Consider the following 24612-nt stretch of genomic DNA (forward strand, 5'->3'; position numbering starts at 1 on the left):
CCTCAGATGATCTGCCTGCCTTGGCCTCCCAAAGTGCTAGGATTACAGGAATGAGCCACTGTGCCCGGCCTATAATTCACTTCTTAAATTGAAAAGTACACACACAAGAAGAATCATCAATGGATGCTAAAATTAGTGGGTCAAAGTTTGATGAGGAACAGAATATTTACACAGTCTCAAACTATCATTCCTCGTATTAATTACAAAGGGAAAAATAGTATGTTTATACTGGAGATCTGGCAGAGGCTGTCTTGACAAAGTAATCCAGATTAACATCATCATTAATGAAACAAATTGACATCTCGGGCCTCCTAATATGAAGCACTGTGAAGGACAGGCACACTATTACTACTGTTGTATTTCTGGCCCAAAATGGAACACATGAAATTTTGTTGTTTTATTTGTTTTGTTTTGTTTTTTAGATGGAGTATCTCTCTGTCGCCCAGGCTGGAGTGCAGTCGCACAATCTTGGCTCACTGCAGCCTCTGTCTCCTGGGTTCAAGCAATTCTCCTGCCTCAGCCTCCCGAGTAGCTGGGATTACAGACATGTGCCACCATGCCTGGCTAATTTTTTGTATTTTCAGTAGAGATGGGGCTTTACCATGTTGGCCAGGCTGGTCTCGAACTCCTGACCTCAGATTATCTTCCTGCCTCGGCCTCCCAAAGTGCTGGGATTACAGGTGTGAGCCACCGCACCCGGCCCGTTTACACTGGATGTTAACAACACTGAAGAAGGATAAACTGAAAAGTCTGAGAGCGAGTGAGCGTGCGAACTCATGAGCAGGAAGAAATAGGGAAGTACAGAAGGAGGATCAGGAAGGTGGCATTCCAGAAGCCAAAGAAACAGATTCAAAATCAAAGTGGTAAATTTTATCAAATGCAATAGAAAGGACAGTTATATAAGGCCAAAAAAGTGTCCACTGGATTTGGCAAGAAAGCAGTCACGCAGTCAATGATGTCTTTTGCCAACAGTTTTGTACAATGGTGGGTGCAGAAGACAGATCACAAAGAGTTTGAGGAGAAAATGGAAAATGAGGAATTGGATAGAGCAAGTAAGGACAACTCAAAAAGCCAGCTGTAACCAGAGGAAGATGCATCGTCAAGAGAGGGCTTTAAACATGTTCATTCATTCAATTATTTGTTTACTTACCTTATTTTTAGGATAGGAAAAACTTGAGTGTTTACAAACCTAAGGGGAAAAACTAGAAGGAAGGATAAACAAAAGCTATGGGAGAATAAAATCAGCATTTGATAGAGGCAAGTACCAAAGGTGATGGAATGCAGGGCACAGATGGATCTGCTGGCCAGAGAAGGGACACCTCACCCCTAGGCCTGGAGGAAAGCGGGGAAGAAGCAGTGTAGATGTGGATGGAAAGAAATGGATGTGGTTCACACTTGAATCCTTCAATCTCTTCATAAACTAATGGGTTGAGTCTATTTTTCTACAGTGAGGATGGTGGAGGTTGAATGGGGATGCATGTTTACATTACTTTTTAAAAAGTCTTCACATCTGTAATGCCAGCACTTTGGGAGGCTGAGGCAGGAGGATCACTTGAGCCCAGGAGTTCAAGACCAGCTTGGGCAACACAGTGAGATTCCGTCTCTATAATTTTTTTTTTTGAGACGGAATTTCCCTCTTGTTGCCCAGGCTGGAGTGCAATGGTGCAATCTCGGCTCACTGCAACCTCCGCCTCCCGGGTTCAAGCAATTCTCCTGCCTCAGCCTCCCGAGTAGCTGGGATTACAGGCATGTGCCATCACGCCCGGCTAATTTTGTATTTTTAGTAGAGACAGGGTTTCTCCATGCTTGGCCTCCCAAAGTGCTGGGATTACAGGCATGAGCCACTGCACCTGGCCCTCTATAAAATTTTTTTAAAAAATTAGCCAGGCATGGTGGCACACGCCTATAGTTTCAGCCACTCAGGAGGCTGAGGTGGGAGGCACCTGAGCCCAGGAAGTCGAGGCTGCAGTGAGCTATGATTGTGCCACTGTACTCCAGCCTGGGCGACAGAGCAAGACCATGTCTTGAAAGAAAAAGGGGAGAGAGAGAGAGAGAGAGAGAGAGAGAGAGAGAGAGAGAGAGAGAGAAGAGGGGGAGGGAGGGAGGAAGAGGAAAAAGGGAGGGAGAGAGGGAAGAAAGGAAAGAGGGAGGGAGGGAGGAAAGAAGGAAGGAAGGAAGGCAAGAAGGGAGGGAGGGAGGGAAGGTCATGGTTTGGTCCAGGCATGGTGATTCACACCTGGTAATCCCAACACACTGGGAGGCCAAGGTGGGAGGATCCATTGAGGCCAGGAGTACAAGACCAGCCTGGGCAACATAGCAAGACCCTGTCTCTAAAAAAAAAAATTAGCCAGGCTAAGCAGGATCACTTGAGCCCAGGATGTCAAGGCTGCAGTGAAGTGAGCTATCATTATGCCCACTGGACTCCAGCCTAGGTAACAGAGCAAGACCCTGTCTCAAAACATTTTTGCCTTTTTTAACCTTTTTTTTTTCCTTCAGGGAGGTATGGCCTTAGACTATTCAGAACGTTACTGGTGGGAATAACAAAGGGAGCTGACCGAGGATTTATACAGGACCGTGGAGGGGTGTTTAGAGCCAAGTTGAGATCTGAGCCCATGAATCTGTACCAGTCTCCATGGTTGTGGGGTTTTCTCCAGCAGTACTCAGCAGCCTAGTATATGGACAGAGAAAATGGGGTGTGTTTTGAGCCAGGGTGTGGCTTAGCCATCTTGGCAGAGCTGAATCATAGGGTACAAAGGGCTTCCAGGAGTCAGGGAGAGTGATTCAGGTGGGATCCAAACAGAACTGGTAAGTAAAGGAAGTCAGGAACAGGGTGGGAGACCGTAGAATTGGAGATCTCCATGAATCTGAAGCACAATTAGGGTGGCTAGAGAGAACCGGAGAGGAAGCAAATCGCAGTCAGAGATTAGGATACTACAGTTTAAGGGCTGCCATGAGCAGCACTGGAAAGCGTCCCCATACCTTATACCACTGTAGGAGGCTATACATTCTAGTTTCCCTGAGACAGTCCCAGTTTACATGTTATTCTAACATTTTGTCTAATTTAGCATTTGTCCCAAACTTCATTTTCTAACAAAGTTTAAGTATTAATAGTTGCATTTAAATAAGCCAGGATGAGTCTGTTGGGCCACCATATTTTTATTTTTAGAGACAGCGTCTCGCTCTATCACCCAAGCTAGAGTGCAGTGGTGCAATCACTGTAACCTAGAATTCCTGGGCTCAAGCGATCCTCCCACCTCAACCTCCCAAGCAGCTAAGACTACAGGCACGCACCACCATGCATGGCTATTTTTTTTATTTTTTTGTAGAGACAAGGTCTCGCCATGTTGCCCACTCTGGTCTGGAATTCCTGGCCTCAAACGATCCTCTCACCACAGCCTCCCAAAGTGTTGGGATTACAGGGGTGAGCCACCTTGCCCAGCCTAGGACCACAACTTTTTAATTCCAACTTCTGCCTTGGTCTCATCTACTAGTTTGTGAGATGCATATACAGAGAACCAAGTTCTCACTTTAACACAGGGTTAAACCTAAAAGACAACCAGTGATAACCCTTCTCCCTTTCTCTAATCTTTTCCAAATACAATATAACTAACACCTCCCGCTCAAGGATAGCATGTAGGGCGTTCACTGATAACAAAGCAAGTGCAATCAGGCACTAGGGGTTAGGGACAACGAACTCATTTTATTCCCAGGTGGGAAGTGAGAGGAGTATTCACCATTGTGCGCCTTGCTGAATATGTGGTGTACCAGCCAGCTGTCCCCATGCCAAAGCCTGCAAGATACAGGAAGCTGCCAGGCCACCAGTTGGTAAGTCAGTGGATGCAGGAAATTATACATTTACATGTATGTAAAATATATTCCGGAAATAAAGGCAGAGGAGTCCTGCCATAGAACATATATCGAGTAGTCTGAATACTTTTGGTATAACAGTTATTCATTATACAATGTGTATCTACAACTCATGTTTTTATTTTTTTATTTTTATTTTTTTTTCTGAGATGGGGTTTCACTCTCCACCCAGGCTGGAGTGCAATGGTATCATCTCGACTCACTGCAACCTCTGCCTCCTGGGTTCAAGTTATTCTCCTGTCTCAGCCTCCTGAGTAGCTGAGATTACAGGTGCCCGCCACCACGCCCAGTTAATTTTCATATTTTTAGTAGAGATGGGGTTTCACCATGTTGGCCAGGCTGGTCTCAAACTCCTGACCTCAGATGATCCACCCACCTCGGCCTCCCAAAGTGCTGGGATTATAGGAGTGAGCCACCACACCTGGCCCAACTCACGTTTATAATAATTTTTTTTTCTAGAAACAGAGTATCACATTGTTGCCCAGGCTGGTCTTGAACTCTTGGCCTCAAGCGATCCTACTGCCTTGGCCTCCCAACACTGGGATTACAGGTGTGAGCCACTGTGCCTGGCCTATTTTATTGTTTGATAATGCTTTTTTAAATTTTGGAAACAACTTTTCCAGCATATAAGTTCAAAAACTAAAGTGCATAATTAATGAAAAAGTAAATACTGAATCTCTTTCTCAAGAAAGTTGATGATAAATGTATAACATGCATAAATCATTTGTCCGCATTTATCAGCCACTCACAGGGCACAATGATGTCACTGACCACATGAAAATCAGAAGACATAAATCTGCAGAGAAAGCATCAGTATCTACCTCAAAAGTTTGTCGGTTTTTTTTGTTTGTTTTGTTTTTTGAGACAGAGTCTCGCACTGTCGCCCAGGCTGGAGTGCAGTGGCGCAATCCCGGCTCACTGCAACCTCTGCCTCCCGGGTTCAAGCAATTCTCCTGCCCCAGCTTCCCAAGTACCTGGGATTACAGGCGCCCGCCACCACGCCCAGCTAATTTTTTGTATTTTTAGTTAGAGTCAGGGTTTCGCCATGTTGGCCAGGCTGGTTTCGAACTCCTGACCTCGTGATTCACCTGCCTTGGCCTCCCAAAGTGCTGGGATTTCAGGCGTGAGCCACCGCGCCAGGCCGGTTTGTAGTTATTTTAAGACTGTGGCCAAAGAGGTACAGCTGCAGAGAGGTATTTACATACTGCTCTGTGAAGGACTTTTGTTTAGATCAAATGACTTATTTAGATCAAAATTCATTGGCTCATTTTCCATTTTATGTTGCCTTGTACATGATGAAAAGTGAAGCACTACTTGTAATGCGTAGCTCTATTAGCAGAACTTCACAGTTAAATGATGCCAGTTTAATGTTGATATCTTTAGATGGTTCCAATAGAAAATCAGTTGTATTAGTCGGGGTTCTCCACAAAAACAGAAGCAACAGGATGTACCTGGATCTATCTCGATCTATCTATATGTCTATATGCGAGGTTGGGAGAGATTCATTTATTTTAAGGAATTGGCTCACGCAATTGTGGAGGCTTGTTGAGTCCAAAATCTGAAGGTGTAGGCCTGCGGTCTGAAGACTCAGGGAGGAGTTGCAGTTCCAATCCAAAGGCAATGTGCTGGAGAATGCCTTCTTGATCAGGGGAGGTCAGTGTTTGTTCTATTAAGGCCTTTAGCTGATGAGGCCCACTCACATTATGGAGGGTAATATGCTTTCTCAAAACCCACCGATTTAAATATTAATCTCATACAAAAAACACCTTCACAGAAACATCCAGAAGAATGTTTGACCAAATATATGGGCCAAGTTGACACATAAAACTAACCATCATGGCCAGGCACGGTGGCTCACGCCTGTAATCCCAGCGCTTTGGGAGACTGAGGCAGGCAGATCACGAGGTCAGGAGTTTCAGACCGGCCTGGCCAACATGGTGAAACCCCATCTCTACTAAAAATACAAAAATTAGCCCGACGTGGTGGCACACACCTGTAATTCCAGCTACTCAGGAGGCTAAGGCAGGAGAATTGCTTGAACCCGGGAGGTGGAGGTTGCAGTGAGCCCAGATCGCGCCATTGCACTCCAGCCTGGGTCACAGGGCAAGACTTTGTCTCAAAAAAAAAGAAAAAGAAAGAAATTAACCATCATGTTAGTTAATTCCAATTATGGTTCAATTTTACACCCCATTTATGGAATAAAAGTAAAGTTTATGGAGGCCGGGCACGGTGGCTCATGTCTGTAATCCCAGCATTTTGGGAGGCCGAGGCGGGCAGATCACCTAAGGTCAGGAGATCGAGACCATTCTGGCTAACACGGTGAAACCCCGTCTCTACTAAAAAATACAAAAAAAATTAGCCAGGCGTGGTGGCAGGTGCCTGTAGTCCCAGCTACTCGGGAGGCTGAGGTAGGAGAATGGCGTGAACCCGGGAGGCAGAGCTTGCAGTGAGCCGAGATCGCGCCACTGCACTCCAGCCTGGGTGACAGAGCGAGACTCCGTATCAAAAAAAAAAAAAAAAAAAAAGTAAAGCTTATGGAAAGTTATTCTGATGAAAGTGAAACATCTGGCATTATTGAGAAAACCATTATCAACTCATTGAAAAAGTAAACATTTAGTATAAATATTTTTGTGATGATTGTTTTTCATAGAAATACAAATTTTGGCGGAGCACAGCACCATGGTTAAAAACAGACTTCTTAATAAAGAAATTTCTAGAGAAGAAATACAGTTGGACTTGGTTGTGGCGCACAAATAATTCATAATTGTGTTCAAACAAGTCGATTACAAAATTGTTTCTGGCTGGGTGCAGTGGTTCATGCCTGTAATCCCACCACTTTGGGAGGCCGAGGCAGGCGGATCACCTGAGGTCAGGAGTTCGAGACCAGCCTGATCAATATGGTGAAACCCTGTCTCTATTAAAGATACAAAAATTAGCCGGGTGTGGTGGCGTGCAACTGTAGTCCCAGCTATTCGGGAGGCTGAGAAAGGAGAATTGCTTGAACCTGGAAGGCAGAGGTTGCAGTGAGCTGAGATCACACCGCTGGACTCCAGCCTGGGTGACAGAGCAAGACTCCATCTCAAAAAAAAAAAAATTGTTTCTGGAAAGGCATCGGGAAGAGGAATCTTAGGTTACACTCATGCTTTCCTTATTTCTTCCTGCATGCAGATATTCCAGTAAAGAACAGTGACATACCTAGCATATAGGACGTCCAGAGTAGATAATTTTTTAACATTTTTCACCTCTATGACAAAATCATTTTCAATAATAATCATATAATAATTAGGAATAATTATTTTCTTGCTTTTGTCTGTAGTGGGAAAACAATATTTTAGAAGAATACATTTCCACTTTAAATATAATGTGGAAATTCAGTAAACCATTTCATATGTGAACCAGATTTTCACTTACCAAGAAAAAGTCTTACATCTTGCAGATTGCAGTGTTTGCTGTTTTCCATTTTAAATACAAATAAAAAGTCCAAATTGTCACACAGAATGACAAGATTGAAAGAACAGTACTGTTTCTTTGTTTTTACAATCATCTGGCTATCATTATTTGTTTCAAATCCACTATTAAAATACAGGAGTATCTGGTACTGCAGGATTTGGAGAAAGGAACTGCAAGCCAGAGGCAAGCTGGAAGGATTCTGAATTGTTGGGTACCTAATTTAGAAACAAATTTGAGTAGCTGAGACCACATGTGTCAGGGGACGAATATATAACCGGAAGTTCTCTGAATTAACTTCCTGATAGAACACAATGTTTGTTAAAAGGATAAGTAATGAAAATGTTCTAATATGAATTTCAAGTTCTATGCCAAATAGAAATGCATTCATATATTCACCAAAAGATATGTACAAAATGTTCATAGTAGCATTATTTCTAATAGCCCAAACCTGGAAACTGCCCAAATGTCCATCAACAGGGGAATGGATAAGAAGTCTTAGAGGCAGGCTGGGCGTGGTGGCTCACATCTGTAATCTCACCACTTTGGGAAGCCAAAATGGGCGGATCACCTGGGGTCAGGAGTTCAAGACCAGCCTGGCCAACATGGTGAAACCCCATTTTCTACTAAAAATACAAACATTAGCCAGGTCTGGTGTCACACGCCTGTAGTCCCAGCTACTCGGGAAGCTGAGGCAGGAGAATTGCTTGAACCCGGGAGGCAGAGGTTGCAGTGAGCTGAGATCATTCAACTGCACTCCAGCAGAGCAGCAGAGCGAGACTCTGTCTCAAAAAAAAAAAAAAAAGTCTTAGAGGCTAGAAGAAAGTGAACTGTTTAAGGCAAAATTATTATGGAACACGTAACATTGGTATCATCATGTATTGAGCCAAGCTCTATGCTAGGCACTTTTGCATATATTATTTTGTTTAATCTTCACCACACTCTGTGACAGAGATATTAACCTCATTTGACGTATAAGAAACCAAGCACGCAGGGACCAAGGATCTTGCCCAAAGTCAAAATGCTATAATAGTGGGGAACCCAGGATTTGAACTCAGTCCAAAGCCCATACATCCCTTTTCCATTACAGCCTGCTGCCTCTCCAGGATAAAGAGGGAAGACAGGGAAAGTAGGGAAGTATGGACTTCACAAATTCATACATGCTAAAATTATAACAGCTACTGTTTCTTGAGCACCTATTATGTGGCAAATACTATATGAGGTACTTTACATAAATGATTTTTAGAATTCTCGTAAAACTCTTCATGGCAGTAGTTATTATTCTCTCTCTCTCTCTTTTTCTTTTTTCTTGAGACAGGATATTTCTCTGTTGCCCAGGCTGGAGTGCAGTGGCACAGTCTTGGCTCACTGCAGCCTGGACCTCCTGGGCTCAAGCCATCCTCCCACCTCAGCCTCCCAAGTAGCTGGGGCTACAGGCACATGGCCACCAGGCCCAGATAATTTTTCATTTTTGTAGAGACTGAGTCTCACCATGTTACCCAGGTTTATTATTCTCATTTTTTAGATGAAGAGACTGAGGTCCAGAGAAGCTCAATGACTTGCCTAGTTTTACAAATCTCCTGCCATCACATACCCCTCAGCGTCCTTAATAAGAGGGAGGCCACCAACTATGTGCTGGGCACTGTGGTGGATGCTGGAGCTATAGGGTTGAGTATATAAGAAATGGTGTTGCTGGAGCAACTGTTGCTTGCTTACCTGACCTATCTGAGAATTAATTAGCAGGGGAACATATTTTTGTTTTCAGATTCAATATAAGAACTTGTGTGGGCAAAAATAAAGATCAGTAGTAATAACAGTAGTTCCCATTTGCTGACTGTACTGTCCTAAGTGCATATATATATACATACACACACGCATACCTATACTCCTCTAATACTCAAAATGATCCTGTTTATGTATTGTTAATATGCTCATTTTATTTTTAAATTTTTATTTATTTTTATTTTTATTTATTTTTGAGACGGAGTCTCATTCTGTCGCGGAGGCTGAAGTGCAGTGGTGCGATCTCAGCTCAGTGCGACCTCCGCCTCCCGGGTTCAAGTGATTCTCCTGCCTCAGCCTCCGGACTAGCTGGGATTACAGGCGCCCGCCTCCACGCCCAGCTAATTTTTGTATTTTTAGTAGAGATGGGGTTTCGCCATGTTGGCCAGGCTGGTCTCGTACTCCTGACCTTGAGTGATCCACCTGCCTCGGCCTCCCAAAGTGCTGGGATTACAGGCATGAGCCACCGCGCCGGGCTAATATGCTCATTTTAGTGAGGCAAAAATAGAGGCTCAGAGTCTGATTTGTACAAAACTACAGAGCAGTTAAGTGTCCTCTCAGATGTGTACCCTGATCTGGGTGACTCTAGGACTCTAGGTCTCAACTGTTACAACCAGTTAAGGGTTTGGGGAAGCACTGGGCCAAGAGTCAGGAAAATGGAAGCCACAGGTAGTGCAAGGTCTTGGGAATGGGACGTCTGGTCCAAGGATTCACGCGATGACTGGAACCCGAAGAGCCGGGGCCCGGTTTACGGCCGCCATGAAGCAACGCGCGCCGGTAGGTTTGGGAATCAGGGAGCCCTCTGAATAGGAGACTGAGTTGGGAGGGAAAGGGGCTTCGCTGGGGGAGCCTCGGCTTCTTCTGGGAGAAAATTCCCACGGCTACCTAGTGAGCCTGCAAACTGGTAGGCGCCGGCGTAGGCGCGCGGGCGGGGCCGGGGGCGGGGCCTGCGGGGCGTGGCGGGGCGGGCAGAGGGCGGGGCCTGCTTCTCCTCAGCTTCAGGCGGCTGCGACGAGCCCTCAGGCGAACCTCTCGGCTTTCCCGCGCGGCGCCGCCTCTTGCTGCGCCTCCGCCTCCTCCTCTGCTCCGCCACCGGCTTCCTCCTCCTGAGCAGTCAGCCCGCGCGCCGGCCGGCTCCGTTATGGCGACCCGCAGCCCTGGCGTCGTGGTGAGCAGCTCGGCCTGCCGGCCCTGGCCGGTTCAGGCCCACGCGGCAGGTGGCGGCCGGGCCCTGAGGCGCGGGATCCGCAGTGCGGGCTCGGGCGGCCGGGCCCAGGGAACCCCGCAGGCGGGGGCGGCCAGTTTCCCGGGTTCGGCTTTACGTCACGCGAGGGCGGCAGGGAGGACGGAATGGCGGGGTTTGGGGTGGGTCCCTCCTCGGGGGAGCCCTGGGAAAAGAGGACTGCGTGTGGGAAGAGAAGGTGGAAATGGCGTTTTGGTTGACATGTGCCGCCTGCGAGCGTGCTGCGGGGAGGGGCCGAGGGCAGATTCGGGAATGATGGCGCGGGGTGGGGGCGTGGGGGCTTTCTCGGGAGAGGCCCTTCCCTGGAAGTTTGGGGTGCGATGGTGAGGTTCTCGGGGCACCTCTGGAGGGGCCTCGGCACGGAAAGCGACCACCTGGGAGGGCGTGTGGGGACCAGGTTTTGCCTTTAGTTTTGCACACACTGTAGTTCATCTTTATGGAGATGCTCATGGCCTCATTGAAGCCCCACTACAGCTCTGGTAGCGGTAACCATGCGTATTTGACACACGAAGGAACTAGGGAAAAGGCATTAGGTCATTTCAAGCCGAAATTCACATGTGCTAGAATCCAGATTCCATGCTGACCGATGCCCCAGGATATAGAAAATGAGAATCTGGTCCTTACCTTCAAGAACATTCTTAACCGTAATCAGCCTCTGGTATCTTAGCTCCACCCTCACTGGTTTTTTCTTGTTTGTTGAACCGGCCAAGCTGCTGGCCTCCCTCCTCAACCGTTCTGATCATGCTTGCTAAAATAGTCAAAACCCCGGCCAGTTAAATATGCTTTAGCCTGCTTTATTATGATTATTTTTGTTGTTTTGGCAATGACCTGGTTACCTGTTGTTTCTCCCACTAAAACTTTTTAAGGGCAGGAATCACCGCCGTAACTCTAGCACTTAGCACAGTACTTGGCTTGTAAGAGGTCCTCGATGATGGTTTGTTGAATGAATACATTAAATAATTAACCACTTGAACCCTAAGAAAGAAGCGATTCTATTTCATATTAGGCATTGTAATGACTTAAGGTAAAGAGCAGTGCTATTAACGGAGTCTAACTGGGAATCCAGCTTGTTTGGGCTATTTACTAGTTGTGTGGCTGTGGGCAACTTACTTCACCTCTCTGGGCTTAAGTCATTTTATGTATATCTGAGGTGCTGGCTACCTCTTGGAGTTATTGAGAGGATTATAAGACAGTCTATGTGAATCAGCAACCCTTGCATGGCCCCTGGCGGGGAACAGTAATAATAGCCATCATCATGTTTACTTACATAGTCCTAATTAGTCTTCAAAACAGCCCTGTAGCAATGGTATGATTATTACCATTTTACAGATGAGGAACCTTTGAAGCCTCAGAGAGGCTAACAGACATACCCTAGGTCATACAGTTATTAAGAGAAGGAGCTCTGTCTCGAACCTAGCTCTCTCTCTCTCGAGTAATACCAGTTAAAAAATAGGCTACAAATAGGTACTCAAAAAAATGGTAGTGGCTGTTGTTTTTATTCAGTTGCTGAGGAAAAAATGTTGATTTTTCATCTCTAAACATCAACTTACTTAATTCTGCCAATTTCTTTTTTTTGAGACAGGGTCTCACTCTGTCACCTAGGATGGAGTGCAGTGGCACAATCACTGCTCACTGCAGCCTCGACTTCCCGGGCTCGGGTGATTCTCCCCAGGCTCAGGGGATTCTCCCACTTCAGCCTCCCAAGTAGCTGGGACTACAGGTGCGCACCACCATCCCTGGCTAATATTTGTACTTTATTTTATTTATTTATTTATTTATTTTTTGAGATGGAGTTTCGCTCTTGTTGCCCGGGCTGGAGTACAGTGGCATGATCTCGGCTCAGTGCAACCTCTGCCTCCCGGGTTCAAGCGATTCTCCTACCTCATCCCCCTGAGTAGCTGGGATTACAGGCGCCTGCCACCATGCCTGGCTAATTTTTTGTATTTTTAATAGAGACGAGGTTTCACCATGTTGGCCAGGCTACTCTCGAACTCCTGATCTCAGGTGATCCACCCGCCTTGGCCTCCCAAAGTGCTGGGATTACAGGCGTGAGCCACTGCGCCCGGCCTAATATTTGTATTTTTTGTAGAGATGGTGTTTTGCCATGTTGTCCAGGCTGGTCTTGAACTCCTGAGCTCAAGCGATCTGCCCGCCTCTGCTTCCCAAAGTGCTGGGATTACAGGCATGAGCCACCGTGCCTGGCCTAGGTAGACGCTTTTAGCTTTGGGGTGTGATGCCTGCCCCAGTATATAGTGAATTTAATTATTGCTAGAGCTGGCTGTTTGTTAGTTTTCTTTGAACATAAGATACTCATTGTTTTTAGTTTGCAAATCCCTCTTCCTTTTTAAAAAATTTCTTTCCCTTAAATTGTTTGCATGTTAGCAATAACAAATGCTTAAATGGTGCTATGTGCTAGATACTCTTCTAAGCCCTGTTATGTATATTAACTAATTTTTTAAATTACACAAATCAGAGAGGTTAAGTAACTTGCCCAAGATTACCCAACAATACTAGGATTTGAACCTAAGTTTGTCTCACCCCAGATTCTGCTCTTAATCTCTAAACTTTTAAGTTAGTAGTGACAATAGTAGGTATTTATTGAATACTTAACTATGTTTTAGGCGTTGAAGTAAATATTTTGCAGGCATTATCTAATGTAAACACCCTAAAGTTACATAACAGGTACCCTTTAGGTAAATAAACACTAGTATGACCTTGGAGGCACAGATAGTTGAAGTAACTTGCCCAATATCACTTACATGAAATTGGCCCTCAAATGTGTCTGATACAACCCATGCTGCTTGTAACTATCGTTTTAAACTGCCAGGGTAAACTTGGACACACTTGAGCTAAGAAAAAGCTTTTAGATTTTTGCAAATTAATGTGAAAGATATGCTTTATGTGGATATAATATCTTCTAAATTTCGGGGATGGTAGTCCTAGAAATGTAATCCTGCCCTAGCCGAGCTTACCCTGCCAATAATTTTTTACAGAATTGGTAAAACGGAGCACCTTTTTTTTGTCCTTGGCCACACTGTTATCAACAGGGTGTAGATTGACATCAATCTGTAGGTGTAAACCAGAATTACTCTTTGTGACCACCAGGAAATAGAGCAGTTCAGTTCAGGGGTTTCTTTCTGTGAATTTAGCACTGTGACCTGCATACTACAAGTCTACTTTGTTTTCTATCCATTGTTTGTATCTGGGTATTGCAAAAGGTAGGAAAAGGACCAACCAGATCAGCAGAGAAGAGTTGCCTTGGAGTTTTCTTTTAGTTTTCTGCAGTTCATTAGATAGTAACTAGGCCATGTCATTTTACTCCCTTGTAGTGAAGATATGTTGAAGTTGTACTGGTATACTCTTCTACCTTTCTGTAATTTTATATTGTGTAGACTTGATAAAATTTATGTGTCAATCACCACCATTAATATCAATATTGAGCCTCAATTCTTATTTTTCTGCCCAGTGGCTGCCAAATTACTAACATTTACAATAATTCACTACTACTAAGATAATCTACTAGTTCGATCACATACTTCAAATTGTTATGGAACTACTGTCTTCAGCATTGTGCTTCTGATAACTGATAAGTATAATTTTTTTTTTGTCCAGAGTGAACATGTCTATTCTTCCACTGTACACACTAATAAAAGGAAAAATTGTAATATTGGGTAAATTCATGTCCTTACACATGTAGTAGTTATGAGCCCATGTCCCTAGAATGAGTAATAATTTATCCCTCCCTTGGTTGAATAGTCAAGAATGCTGATTTTAATTCTTCTAACAGCTTTATCCCTCAGAAGGGAAGGCAAGCAAGTTATATATGTAGTTTATTTGTAAGACTGATATGAAATTGGAAGATGAATCTACTATTAGCTTTAATTATTTTTACATTTAGGAATATTGCATCAGTAACTCATAATTTTGGTTTTCTGTTATCCTGAGTTAACACAAATTATCCAAGGAGATGGCGGATCATCTGCTTTGAGGTGTTTTTTTTTGAGAATTTTAATGTATCTGAATATAAAAGGTAAAAATATGCCAACTAGCAATTTCTGCCCATTCCAGAAGTTTGGAAATATTACTCATTACTAGGAATTAAATAAAATATGGTTTATCTATTGTTATACCTCTTTTAATTCACATAGCTCATTTTTATCTTTTATTTTTGTTTGTTTTTTTTGAGATGGAGTCTTGCTCTGTCACCAGGCAGGAGTGCAGTGATGCAATCTCGGCTCACTCTAGCCACCGACTCCCTGGTTCAAGCGATTCTCCTGCCTGAGCCTTCTGAGTAGCTGGGATTACAGGCAGGCACCACCACGCCCAGCTAATTTTTGTAGAGACAGGATTTCACCGTGTTGGCCAGGATGGTCTCCATCTCCTGACCTCATGATCTGCCTGCTTCGGCCTCCCAAAGTGCTGGGATTACAGGTGGGAGCCACTACGCCTGGCCCACATAGCTCATTTTTAGACTCACTTCCATTAAGTCTTGTTTGGACCCACGAACATTGTCTTTTTTTTTTTAAGATGGAGTTTCACTTTTGTTGCCCAGACTGTAGTGCAATGGTGCAATCTCAGCTCACTGCAATCTCTGCCTCCTGGGTTCTAGCAATTCTCCTGCCTCAGCCTCCCGAGTAGCTGGAATTACAGGCGCCCGCCACCACGCCCAGCTAATTTTTGTGTTTTTAGTAGAGACGGGGTTTCACCATGTTGGGCAGGCCAGGGGTGATCCGCCCACCTCAGCCTCCCAAAGTGCTGGGATTACAGGTGTGAGCCACCGCATCTGGCCAACATGTCTTTTTTTTTTTTTTCCTTTTTAACCACAAAGAGACTTAAGCAGTCCTTGTCACAGATGATGAATTGATGTTGCAAGTATTGTCTTAGCTTGGATTAATTTTCTTGCTTACTGTAATTTTAGATAATATAGCTTTGTAATTAGAGATTTTATGTGTAAACCACAAAAATGTTTACATGAAGGCCATTATTACAGATGTGACGTGCATAATTATTAGTAATTTGTATGTTTACATGGGTCAGTCTGGCAAAAAATTATGAAGTTTTAAAAATTAAAAAAAATTATAATGCCAGTTTTACTGGAAAGTAAAATTATTTCAGTAATCGATTATAGCAAAAGTATTGATTTTCATTCCAGACAAAAGTCAGAATGAAAGGTAATTTCTCAATACTCTTTCAGATTAATAAAAGTACCTGTAGCGATTTTTATCATTCACAAGTATATCACAAGTAAGTTAGAATTTGAGAACTGTGTTCTAGATCTCTGAGGAGATGCAGTCAGATTTCTGAACTGTCTCAGCAAATGGTAAGTAACTTAGAGCTAGTAATTAATAACCTGTCCTTTGATTTCTGATTCAGCCAAGAATGGCCATATTTGGGAAAGGCAGATCTGGAGAGTAACCACGTTTTCATTCATTTACCACTTCTAGGCCCCTCCAGAGCTCTCAGATATTTTGGGGTTGAGCCCTTCCCCAAAGCCATACAGGACCTTTTTTTTGTGATCTGTTCTAGCCATTTTTATGTTGGGTGCTTGTTATGGACTGAGCATTTATGTCCTCCCACACCCCCCCCATACCTTTTTTGAAGTCCTAACCCCCAGTGTGATGGTATTTGGAGACAGGGCCTTTGGAAGGTAATTACAGTTAGAAGAAGTCGGGAGGGTTGGGCCCAGGTCTGATTGGATTAGTGCCCTTATATGAAAAGACACCAGGACGGGCGCAGTGGCTCACACCTGTAATCCCAGCACTTTGGGAGGCCAAGGTGGGTGGATCACGAGGTCAGGAGTTTGAGACCAGCCTGGCCAATGTAGTGAAACACCATCTCTACTAAAAATACAAAAATTAGCTGGGTGTGGTAGCGGGCTCCTGTCATCCAAGCTACTCGGGAGGGTGAGGCATGAGAATCACTTGAACCCGGGAGTTGGAGGTTGCAGTGAGCCCAGATTGTGCCACTGTACTCCAGCCTGGGTGACAGAGTGAGACTCTGTCTCAAAAAAGAAAAAAAAAAAAAAAGAGACACCAGAGAGCTTGTTAGAAGAGGTCATGTGAGCACACAGTTAGAAGACCTTCAAGCCAAAGAAGAGGCCTGAGATTGAAACCTACCTTGCAGGTACCTTAATTTTGGACTTCCCAGCCTCCAAAACTGTGAGAAATAAGTTTCTGTTAAGTCACTCAGTCTGTGGTATTTTGTTATGGCAGCCTGAGCAGGTAGTTGTTCTTTCAGAAGGTGTTGATAATAACCACATGCAACACCAAGTCACAAATAATAAAACAGATGTAACTTATATTCATACAGAAAGTTGGGCACTGCCATTGCCTTGTTGGTTTACACGGCTGTGCTAGTTCAGTAGCAGAAAGGTGCTGGTCTCCTTTACTCAGTTTACAATCTAGGCAGTAGAATGTAATCACTGCTTTAAACTTGATACTGCTTAGGGAGAGAATCATTGGTGCTGGGTAACTTTGGGTTCTAGGTTTACTTTTTGTGTATATATAACTGTTTTTGGTAAATCACAAGTTTCTGGGCTTGTCGAATTAGATTTTGTTACAGATTATGAGCTTTATTATGCTATACAGTTAGTTGTATGTATATATGCCTTTCCCACTAGATTTTAAGCTTTTTTTTTTTTTTTTTTTTTGTGACGGAGTCTTGCTCTTGTCGCCCAGGCTGAAGTGGAGTGCAGTGGCACAATCTCGGCTCACTGCAGCCTCCACCTCCTAGGTTCAAGCGATTCTCCTGCCTCGGCCTCCCAAGTAACTGGGACTACAGGCACGTGCCACCACACCCGGCTAATTTTTGTATTTTTTGTAGAGACAGGGTTTCGCCATGTTGGCTAGGCTGGTCTTGAACTTCTGGCCTCAGGTGATCCACCCGCCTCAGCCTCCCAAAGTGCTGGGATTTACAGGCATGAGCCACCACGCCCAGCTATAAGCTCTTTAAGGGTTGTAAATTTATAATCATTCTTTTACTCTCCTGCAAATTCTGTTGCACACTGCCTTAATCAAGGTAGATGCTGAATGCATTTTTGTATAATTGAATATGTTGCAATCCCCAACTCTCTCCAACTGTTCCTGTCAAAGCAGCCACTGGATTGTTAACTAATCCATATTAGATGGGGTTAATTAATATCAGATGGGACAAGTAAGGGCTAATAAGATTATAGGCCACCAAGTAGATTTCTGTCTAGCTCTTATAGAGATTGAGTTTATTGGACCTGTTTGATAGGAAGTTTTGGTGTTTGGGATGATTAAAACTGAAGTTCCTATTTATTGAATTATACCTATTTATATTATTTCATATCAGTGGTCCACATGCAAGTGAGGCTTCTGAGACAGAGTTTGAGTTCTCTCTTCAACTACCATAACACTTAACCTGTATCTTTTTTTTTTTTTTTTTTTTTAGACGGAGTCTCGCTCTGTCACTCAGGCTGGAGTGTAGTGGTATGATCTCGGCTCACTGTAACCTCTGCCTCCTGGATTCAAGCAGTTCTCCATGTCTCAGCCTCCCTAGTAGCTGGGATTACAGGCCTGTGCCACCATGCCTGGCTAATTTTTTTTTTGTATTTTTAGTAGAGACGGGGTTTTACCACGTTGGCCAGGCTGGTCTCGAACTCTTGACCTCGAGCGATCAACTTGCCTTGGCCTCCCAAAGTGCTGGGATTACAGGCATGAGCCACAGCGCCCAGCCGTCTTTTTTTTTAAATAGCAATTTAACACTGTTCACAGTTACTCATGTACATGTCATGCCATCTATTACACTGTAAGTTCTGTGAGGGTAGCTGTATCAAATTTATCTAACTCTCTCTAGTATGCATGACATAGTAAGTATTCAATAAATATTTGCATATTAGTGATAAGGATACAGGTTCTGAATAGTGGGTCCTTACCATTTAAGAATTAGTATTTGATGGCCGGGCGGGGTGGCTCACGCCTGTAATCCCAGCACTTTGGGAGGCTGAGGCGGGCGGATCATGAGATCAGGAGATCGAGACCATCCTGGCTAACATGGTGAAATCCCGTCTTTACAAAAAAAATACAAAAGAATTAACCAAGTGTGGTGGTGGGTGCCTGTAGTCCCAGCTACTGCTTTGTGAGGCTGAGGCAGGCAGATCACCTGAGGTGGGAAATTCAAGACCAGCCTGACCAACATGGAGAAACCCCATCTCTACTAAAAATACAAAATTAGCCGGGCGTGGTGGCGCATGTCTGTAATCCCAGCTACTCGGGAGGCTGAGGCAGGAGAATGGCGTGAACCCGGGAGGCGGAGCTTGCAGTGAGCCAGGATCGCGCCACTGCACTCCAGCCTGGGCGACAGAGCGAGACTCCGTCTCAAAAAAAAAAAAAAAAAAAAAATTAGTATTTGATATTTGATCATTAAATATGAATTAAGAGGACTTAGACTTTTTGTTAAATGTCAAGCTGGGAAAAGTTGTCATTTAAATGAATTGCCTCTTATTTAATTTCGTCTGATGATACATTTTGTTTTTATTTTGTAAAAAATTATTTTTTTTCTTTTTGGAGACAGGGTCTTGCTCTGTTGCCCAGGCTGGTCACAAACTCCTGACCTCAAGCAATCCTCCTGCCTTAGCCTCCCAAAATGCTGGGATTACAGGCGTGAGCCACCTCGCCCGGCCTTGTATTATGATACATTTTGAACAACTACAAGTAGACTTGGTATAATGAACCTGCACGTACCCATTGCCAAGTTCTGACAACTGTCTGTCTATAGCCAATTATGCATTTCTTAAATTAGAACCCCCCCAATATACCCAAATATATATATATGTGTGCATATATATAGTAAGTTGTAACAAAGTTGTGAATTCATACCTGAAGTATCTCAAGTGATGCAAGTTTTATGAATTTTTGTTTATGCCTTTTGGGAAGAGTTGTATTGACAAATTTTTTATGCTTAAAGTAAACCATAAATCAAAAAAATAAAATCTAGGATGCAATAAAACAAAACAACTTCTTGACATAAGTATGGTATGTAAATCTGTTTTGATTGGAAATCAATTTGTTATATTGCCAGAATTCCTGTTTTAGAATACATCTCTGCTGATCTGTCTGTATTCTTAGACTGCATATCTGGGATGAACTCTGGGCAGAATTCACATGGGCTTCCTTTGAAATAAACAAGACTTTTCAAATTCTTAGTCGATCTGCAGAACCTGTAGCCAGGCACTGAACCATTTTGATAGATGCAGTAATCGTTGCAAGTGTATATTTCAAGGAGTTCTGGCTGGGTCCTAGTTTATGCTTGTGGCAGAAGCAGTGAGTAACTGGGAGGAAGTTGGTGAGTAAGCTTCAAGGAAGAAGTCATTTTTAGTACTCTGGATCTTCCTGATTTTAAAGCACTACAAAATGGTGCATTTTCATTCTTGTCAAGTGATAACAGATATATTCTGATGAGCCTGAAATGAATATATATTGTATCATTTTTATAATATCTAGCAAGGTTTGTATTTTCCTAGAACTTGAACTAAATTTCAGTTCATAAAATTTATAAAATACTTAGTTGTTGTAAAATATTTTTGGAATGTTCACATAGGTGACACACAAATGTCCCATTTTCATTCTTTCTATAGTAAATATGTTCTGATATGTGAAGGTTTAGCAGATGCATCAGCATTTAATCCTAGAGGATCTGGCATAATCTTTTCCCCCAAGAATAGAAATTTTTTCTGCTTATGAAAGTAGTACATGTTTCTTTAAAAACAAATCAATATTGACTTCTGCCTGCTGTATAGCACTATGCCTCCACCTGGCCATGACCAGGGGCATGTCCTGGTCCACCTACCTGAAAATGTTTGCAACCAGCCTCCTGGCCATGTGCACAGGGGCTGAAGTTGTCCCACAGGTATTACGGGCCAACCTGACAATACATGAAGTTCCACCAAAGTCTGAGAACTCAGAACTGAGCTTTGGGGACTGAAAGACAGCACAAACCTCAAATTTCTCAGCACTGGAAACCTCAAAATATAACTGAATTCCATAAATAAGATTTTAAGTCTTAAATATGTATTTTTAAATGTATTAAAAGTCAAGCTGCTTGTATTTAAGCACCTAATACAATGCTTAGGTTGTAAAAGGAGATGCTCAATAGGTACTAACTGATATATTGAGATTTAATTATGGTTTGACCAATATTTATTGGAAACCGCCAAAGCTTAAATCATCAGCTTCTTGAATGTGATTTGAAAGGTAATTTAGTATTGAATAGCATGTGAGCTAGAGTATTTCATTCTTTCTGGTTTATTTCTTCAAATAGACTTTGAATATAATGGTGAATGGGTATTATAAATTAACTAATAAAAATGACATTGAAAATGAAAAAATATATATATTAAAGTGTAGAAAGTGACCAGGCGTGGTGGCTCACACCTGTAATCCAAGCACCTTGGGAGGCTGAGGCAGGAGGATCTCTTGATCCCAGGAGTTCAAGACCAGCCTGGGCAACATAGCGAGACTTCGTCTCTAAAAAAAAAAAAGAGAGAGAAAAAAATTTTTTTTATTTAAAAAAAGTGTAGAAAGTGTCAAGACCCCACTTCTTACCATTATTTGGTATATTTCTCTATACCCACCCACCCTTCCTCCTTACTCCCTCCCTCCCTTCCCAATCTTTTTATCTTTTTGTATTCTGATTTTTTGTTTGTATATTTTGCTTTAATTTAATGTATCCTTTAAAAATTTCCCATACATTTTATATGTATATATAAAAACGCATGCTGCCAAAGATAATTTATAAGAAAGACCATTGAATTTTTTTAAAAGTGATATATATTCATTGAAAAAAATTTAGAATATATAGCAAAGCAATAAAGAACTAAATAAAATTGCTGTAACTCCTCTTTCAAAGATAAGTGCTTTTATGATTTTGTTGTATTTTTTTCTGTATATAGGTACATATATAGTATTTATAAAGCTGTACTCATAGTACATTTTCACATCACAGGTACCATATCAGTGTTATTAAATATTTTGTATGCCAGGGGCTAGACATACCAAGACAACCAATATGTGGTTCTACTTAAATAATATTAGAGTATCTTTTATGATGACACTTCATGAGTTGACTATAATAATCTTAGACTTCTAAGAGTTTGGGTTTTCAAAAGATCACTTAGCTTTTTTGGGTGATTTTTCCCCCTTACTGTGAGATGAGAGAGGCTGTTTGGATTTGGGATTGGGGTAGCGGGGACAGCAACTTTTCTTTTCTTTTTCTTTTTTATTTTGAGGTAGGGTATTGCTGTGTCACCCAGGCTGGAGTGCAGTGGTGTGATCTCGGCTCACTGCAACCTCCACCTCCCGGGCTCAGGTGATCCTCCTGCTTCAGCCTCCCCAGTAACTGGGACTACAGGCGCGTGCCACATGCCTGGCTAATTTTGTATTTTTAGTAGAGATGGGGTTTCACCATGTTGGCCAGGCTGGTCTCTAACTCCTGACCTCAGGTGATACGCCCACCTGGGCCTCCCAAAATACTGGGATTACAGGCATGAGCCGCTGCATCAGCCAGCAGTTTTTCTTGTGGTTTTTTTTGTTTGTTTTGTTTTGTTTTGTTTTTGAGATAGGGTCTTACTCTGTTGTCCACGCTGGAGTGCTGTGGTATGATCGTAGCTCACTGCAGCCTCAAACTCCTGGGCTCAAGTGATTCCTTCTGCCTCCGCCTCCCGAGTAGCTGGGACTACAGGTATGCACCACCATACCTGGCAAATTTTTACAAAGTTTTTTGTAGGGACGGGGTCTTGCTACATTCCCCATGTCGGTCTTGAACTCCTGGCCTCAAGCAACTCTCCTGTCTCAGCCTCCCAAAGCACTGGGATTACAAGTGTGAGCCACCACACCATGCCAGTTTTTCCTGTTCAGTGTGATATTTTATCTTGTTAGACTACAGTGTGTTAAAACTTGTTTTACTAAATTTTCAAACATACTCAAAAGTGGAGAGAATAGTATAATGAATACCCGTATGTTCATCACCCATGTTTAGAATATTATTAAATATAAAGATTTTGCTGCGTTTGTCTTAGCTCTTTAAAATTTTTCTTTTTCTCTTTGTGACCTAAAGGAAATTCCATATCTTATCACTTTACTTCTACATTCTTGACTAAGATGACTAAGACATATAGTTACATGGTTTTTTGTTTTGTTTTTTGTTTTTTAAAGACGAAATCTCGCTCTTGTCCCCCAGGCTGGAGTGCAATGGTGCCATCTCAGCTCAGTGCAACCTCTGCCTTCTGGGTACAAGCGATTCTCCTGCCTCAGCCTCCCAAGTAGCTGGGATTACAGGCTCCTGCCACCACGCCTGGCTAATTTTTGTATTTTTAGTAGAGACGGCGGGGGGAGGTTTCACCATGTTGACAAGGCTGGTCTGGAACTCCTGACCTCAGGTGATCCACCCGCCTCGGCCTCCCAAAGTGCTGGGATTACAGGCGTGAGCCACCGCGCCCAGCCTGTTTTTTTGTTTGTTTGTTTTGTTTTTTTTGAGACAGAGTCTTGCTCTGTTTCCCAGGCTGGAGTGAAGTGGCGCATTCTTGGCTCACTGCAACCTTCACCTCCCAGGTTCAAGTGATTCTCCTGCCTCAGCCTCCCAAGTAGCTGGGACTACAGGCATGTGTCACCACACCCGGCTAATTTTTTTGTATTTTTAGTAGAGACGGGATTTCACCGTGTTGCCCAGGCTGGTCTCGAACTCCTGAGCTCAGGCAGTCTGCCTGCCTCAGCCTCCCAAAGTGCTGGGATTACACGTGTGAACCAACCCGCCCGGCCTGTTGTTTTCTTACATAATTCATTATCATACCTACAAAGTTAACAGTTACTAATATCATCTTACACCTAAATTTCTCTGATAGACTAAGGTTATTTTTTAACATCTTAATCCAATCAAATGTTTGTATCCTGTAATGCTCTCATTGAAACAGCTATATTTCTTTTTCAGATTAGTGATGATGAACCAGGTTATGACCTTGATTTATTTTGCATACCTAATCATTATGCTGAGGATTTGGAAAGGGTGTTTATTCCTCATGGACTAATTATGGACAGGTAAGTAAGATCTTAAAATGAGGTTTTTTACTTTTTCTTGTGTTAATTTCAAACATCAGCAGCTGTTCTGAGTACTTGCTATTTGAACATAAACTAGGCCAACTTATTAAATAACTGATGCTTTCTAAAATCTTCTTTATTAAAAATAAAAGAGGAGGGCCTTACTAATTACTTAGTATCAGTTGTGGTATAGTGGGACTCTGTAGGGACCAGAACAAAGTAAACATTGAAGGGAGATGGAAGAAGGAACTCTAGCCAGAGTCTTGCATTTCTCAGTCCTAAACAGGGTAATGGACTGGGGCTGAATCACATGAAGGCAAGGTCAGATTTTTATTATTATGCACATCTAGCTTGAAAATTTTCTGTTAAGTCAATTACAGTGAAAAACCTTACCTGGTATTGAATGCTTGCATTGTATGTCTGGCTATTCTGTGTTTTTATTTTAAAATTATAATATCAAAATATTTGTGTTATAAAATATTCTAACTATGGAGGCCATAAACAAGAAGACTAAAGTTCTCTCCTTTCAGCCTTCTGTACACATTTCTTCTCAAGCACTGGCTATGCATGTATACTATATGCAAAAGTACATATATACATTTATATTTTAACGTATGAGTATAGTTTTAAATGTTATTGGACACTTTTAATATTAGTGTGTCTAGAGCTATCTAATATATTTTAAAGGTTGCATAGCATTCTGTCTTATGGAGATACCATAACTGATTTAACCAGTCCACTATTGATAGACACTATTTTGTTCTTACCGACTGTACTAGAAGAAACATTCTTTTACATGTTTGGTACTTGTTCAGCTTTATTCAAGTGGAATTTCTGGGTCAAGGGGAAAGAGTTTATTGAATATTTTGGTATTGCCAAATTTTCCTCTAAGAAGTTGAATCATTTTATACTCCTGATGTTATATGAGAGTACCTTTCTCTTCACAATTTGTCTCTTTTTTTTTTTTTTTTGAGACAAGGTCTCTGTTGCCCAGGCTGGGGTGCAGTGCAGCAGAATGATCACAGTTCACTGCAGTCTCAACCTCCTGGGTTCAAGCGATCCTTCCACCTCAGCCTCCTGAGTAGCTGGGACTATAGGTGTGCGCCACCACTCCCAGCTAATATTTTTATTTTGTAGAAACAGGGTTCGCCATGTTACCCAGCCTCCCAAAGTGCTGGGATTACAGGCATGAGCCACTGGCCCAGTTTCTACAGTCTCTCT

General features: G+C 42.8%; 1 protein-coding gene across 1 annotated transcript in view, besides 8 other annotated features; it reads left to right on the forward strand.

The window, feature by feature from the left end:
* Positions 9963-10082: a silencer, noted in NCBI's record as "silent region_21008". NCBI's record gives its function as "represses an Ori minimal core promoter by ATAC-STARR-seq in GM12878 lymphoblastoid cells {active_cell/tissue: GM12878}" and the evidence as "EXISTENCE:reporter gene assay evidence [ECO:0000049][PMID:35858748]".
* Positions 10008-10342: an origin of replication, noted in NCBI's record as "335 bp fragment for promoter/exon 1; confers replication ability to mouse-human fusion construct as measured by quantitative PCR of nascent strands". NCBI's record gives the evidence for it as "EXISTENCE:genetic transformation evidence [ECO:0005027][PMID:12616531]".
* Positions 10008-15617: a biological region, named in NCBI's record as "origin of replication in promoter/intron 1 of HPRT1".
* HPRT1 (hypoxanthine phosphoribosyltransferase 1) overlaps positions 10091-24612 on the forward strand; it is a 40504-nt gene continuing 25982 nt past the window's right edge. Inside the window, exons 1-2 of the mRNA NM_000194.3 lie at positions 10091-10264; positions 23285-23391. Of these exons, the coding sequence (NP_000185.1) occupies positions 10238-10264; positions 23285-23391 (134 nt within the window). The 5' untranslated portion in view covers positions 10091-10237. The remainder of the gene's footprint in view (positions 10265-23284; positions 23392-24612) is intronic.
* Positions 10183-10362: a silencer, noted in NCBI's record as "silent region_21009". NCBI's record gives its function as "represses an Ori minimal core promoter by ATAC-STARR-seq in GM12878 lymphoblastoid cells {active_cell/tissue: GM12878}" and the evidence as "EXISTENCE:reporter gene assay evidence [ECO:0000049][PMID:35858748]".
* Positions 10407-10904: an origin of replication, noted in NCBI's record as "amplicons 6 and 7; peak of endogenous synthesis determined by quantitative PCR of size-fractionated nascent strands". NCBI's record gives the evidence for it as "EXISTENCE:fractionation evidence [ECO:0000100][PMID:11948690]".
* Positions 13197-15617: a matrix attachment site, noted in NCBI's record as "HindIII/BglII fragment; binds nuclear matrix". NCBI's record gives the evidence for it as "EXISTENCE:fractionation evidence [ECO:0000100][PMID:2841570]".
* Positions 13197-15617: an origin of replication, noted in NCBI's record as "HindIII/BglII fragment; supports extrachromosomal replication of a plasmid in yeast cells". NCBI's record gives the evidence for it as "EXISTENCE:genetic transformation evidence [ECO:0005027][PMID:2841570]".
* Positions 14095-14667: an origin of replication, noted in NCBI's record as "HPT385 fragment; supports extrachromosomal replication of a plasmid in yeast cells". NCBI's record gives the evidence for it as "EXISTENCE:genetic transformation evidence [ECO:0005027][PMID:2841570]".

This window comes from Homo sapiens, chromosome X, assembly GCF_000001405.40.
Source record: "Homo sapiens chromosome X, GRCh38.p14 Primary Assembly".
NCBI classification, from domain to species: Eukaryota; Metazoa; Chordata; class Mammalia; order Primates; family Hominidae; genus Homo; species Homo sapiens.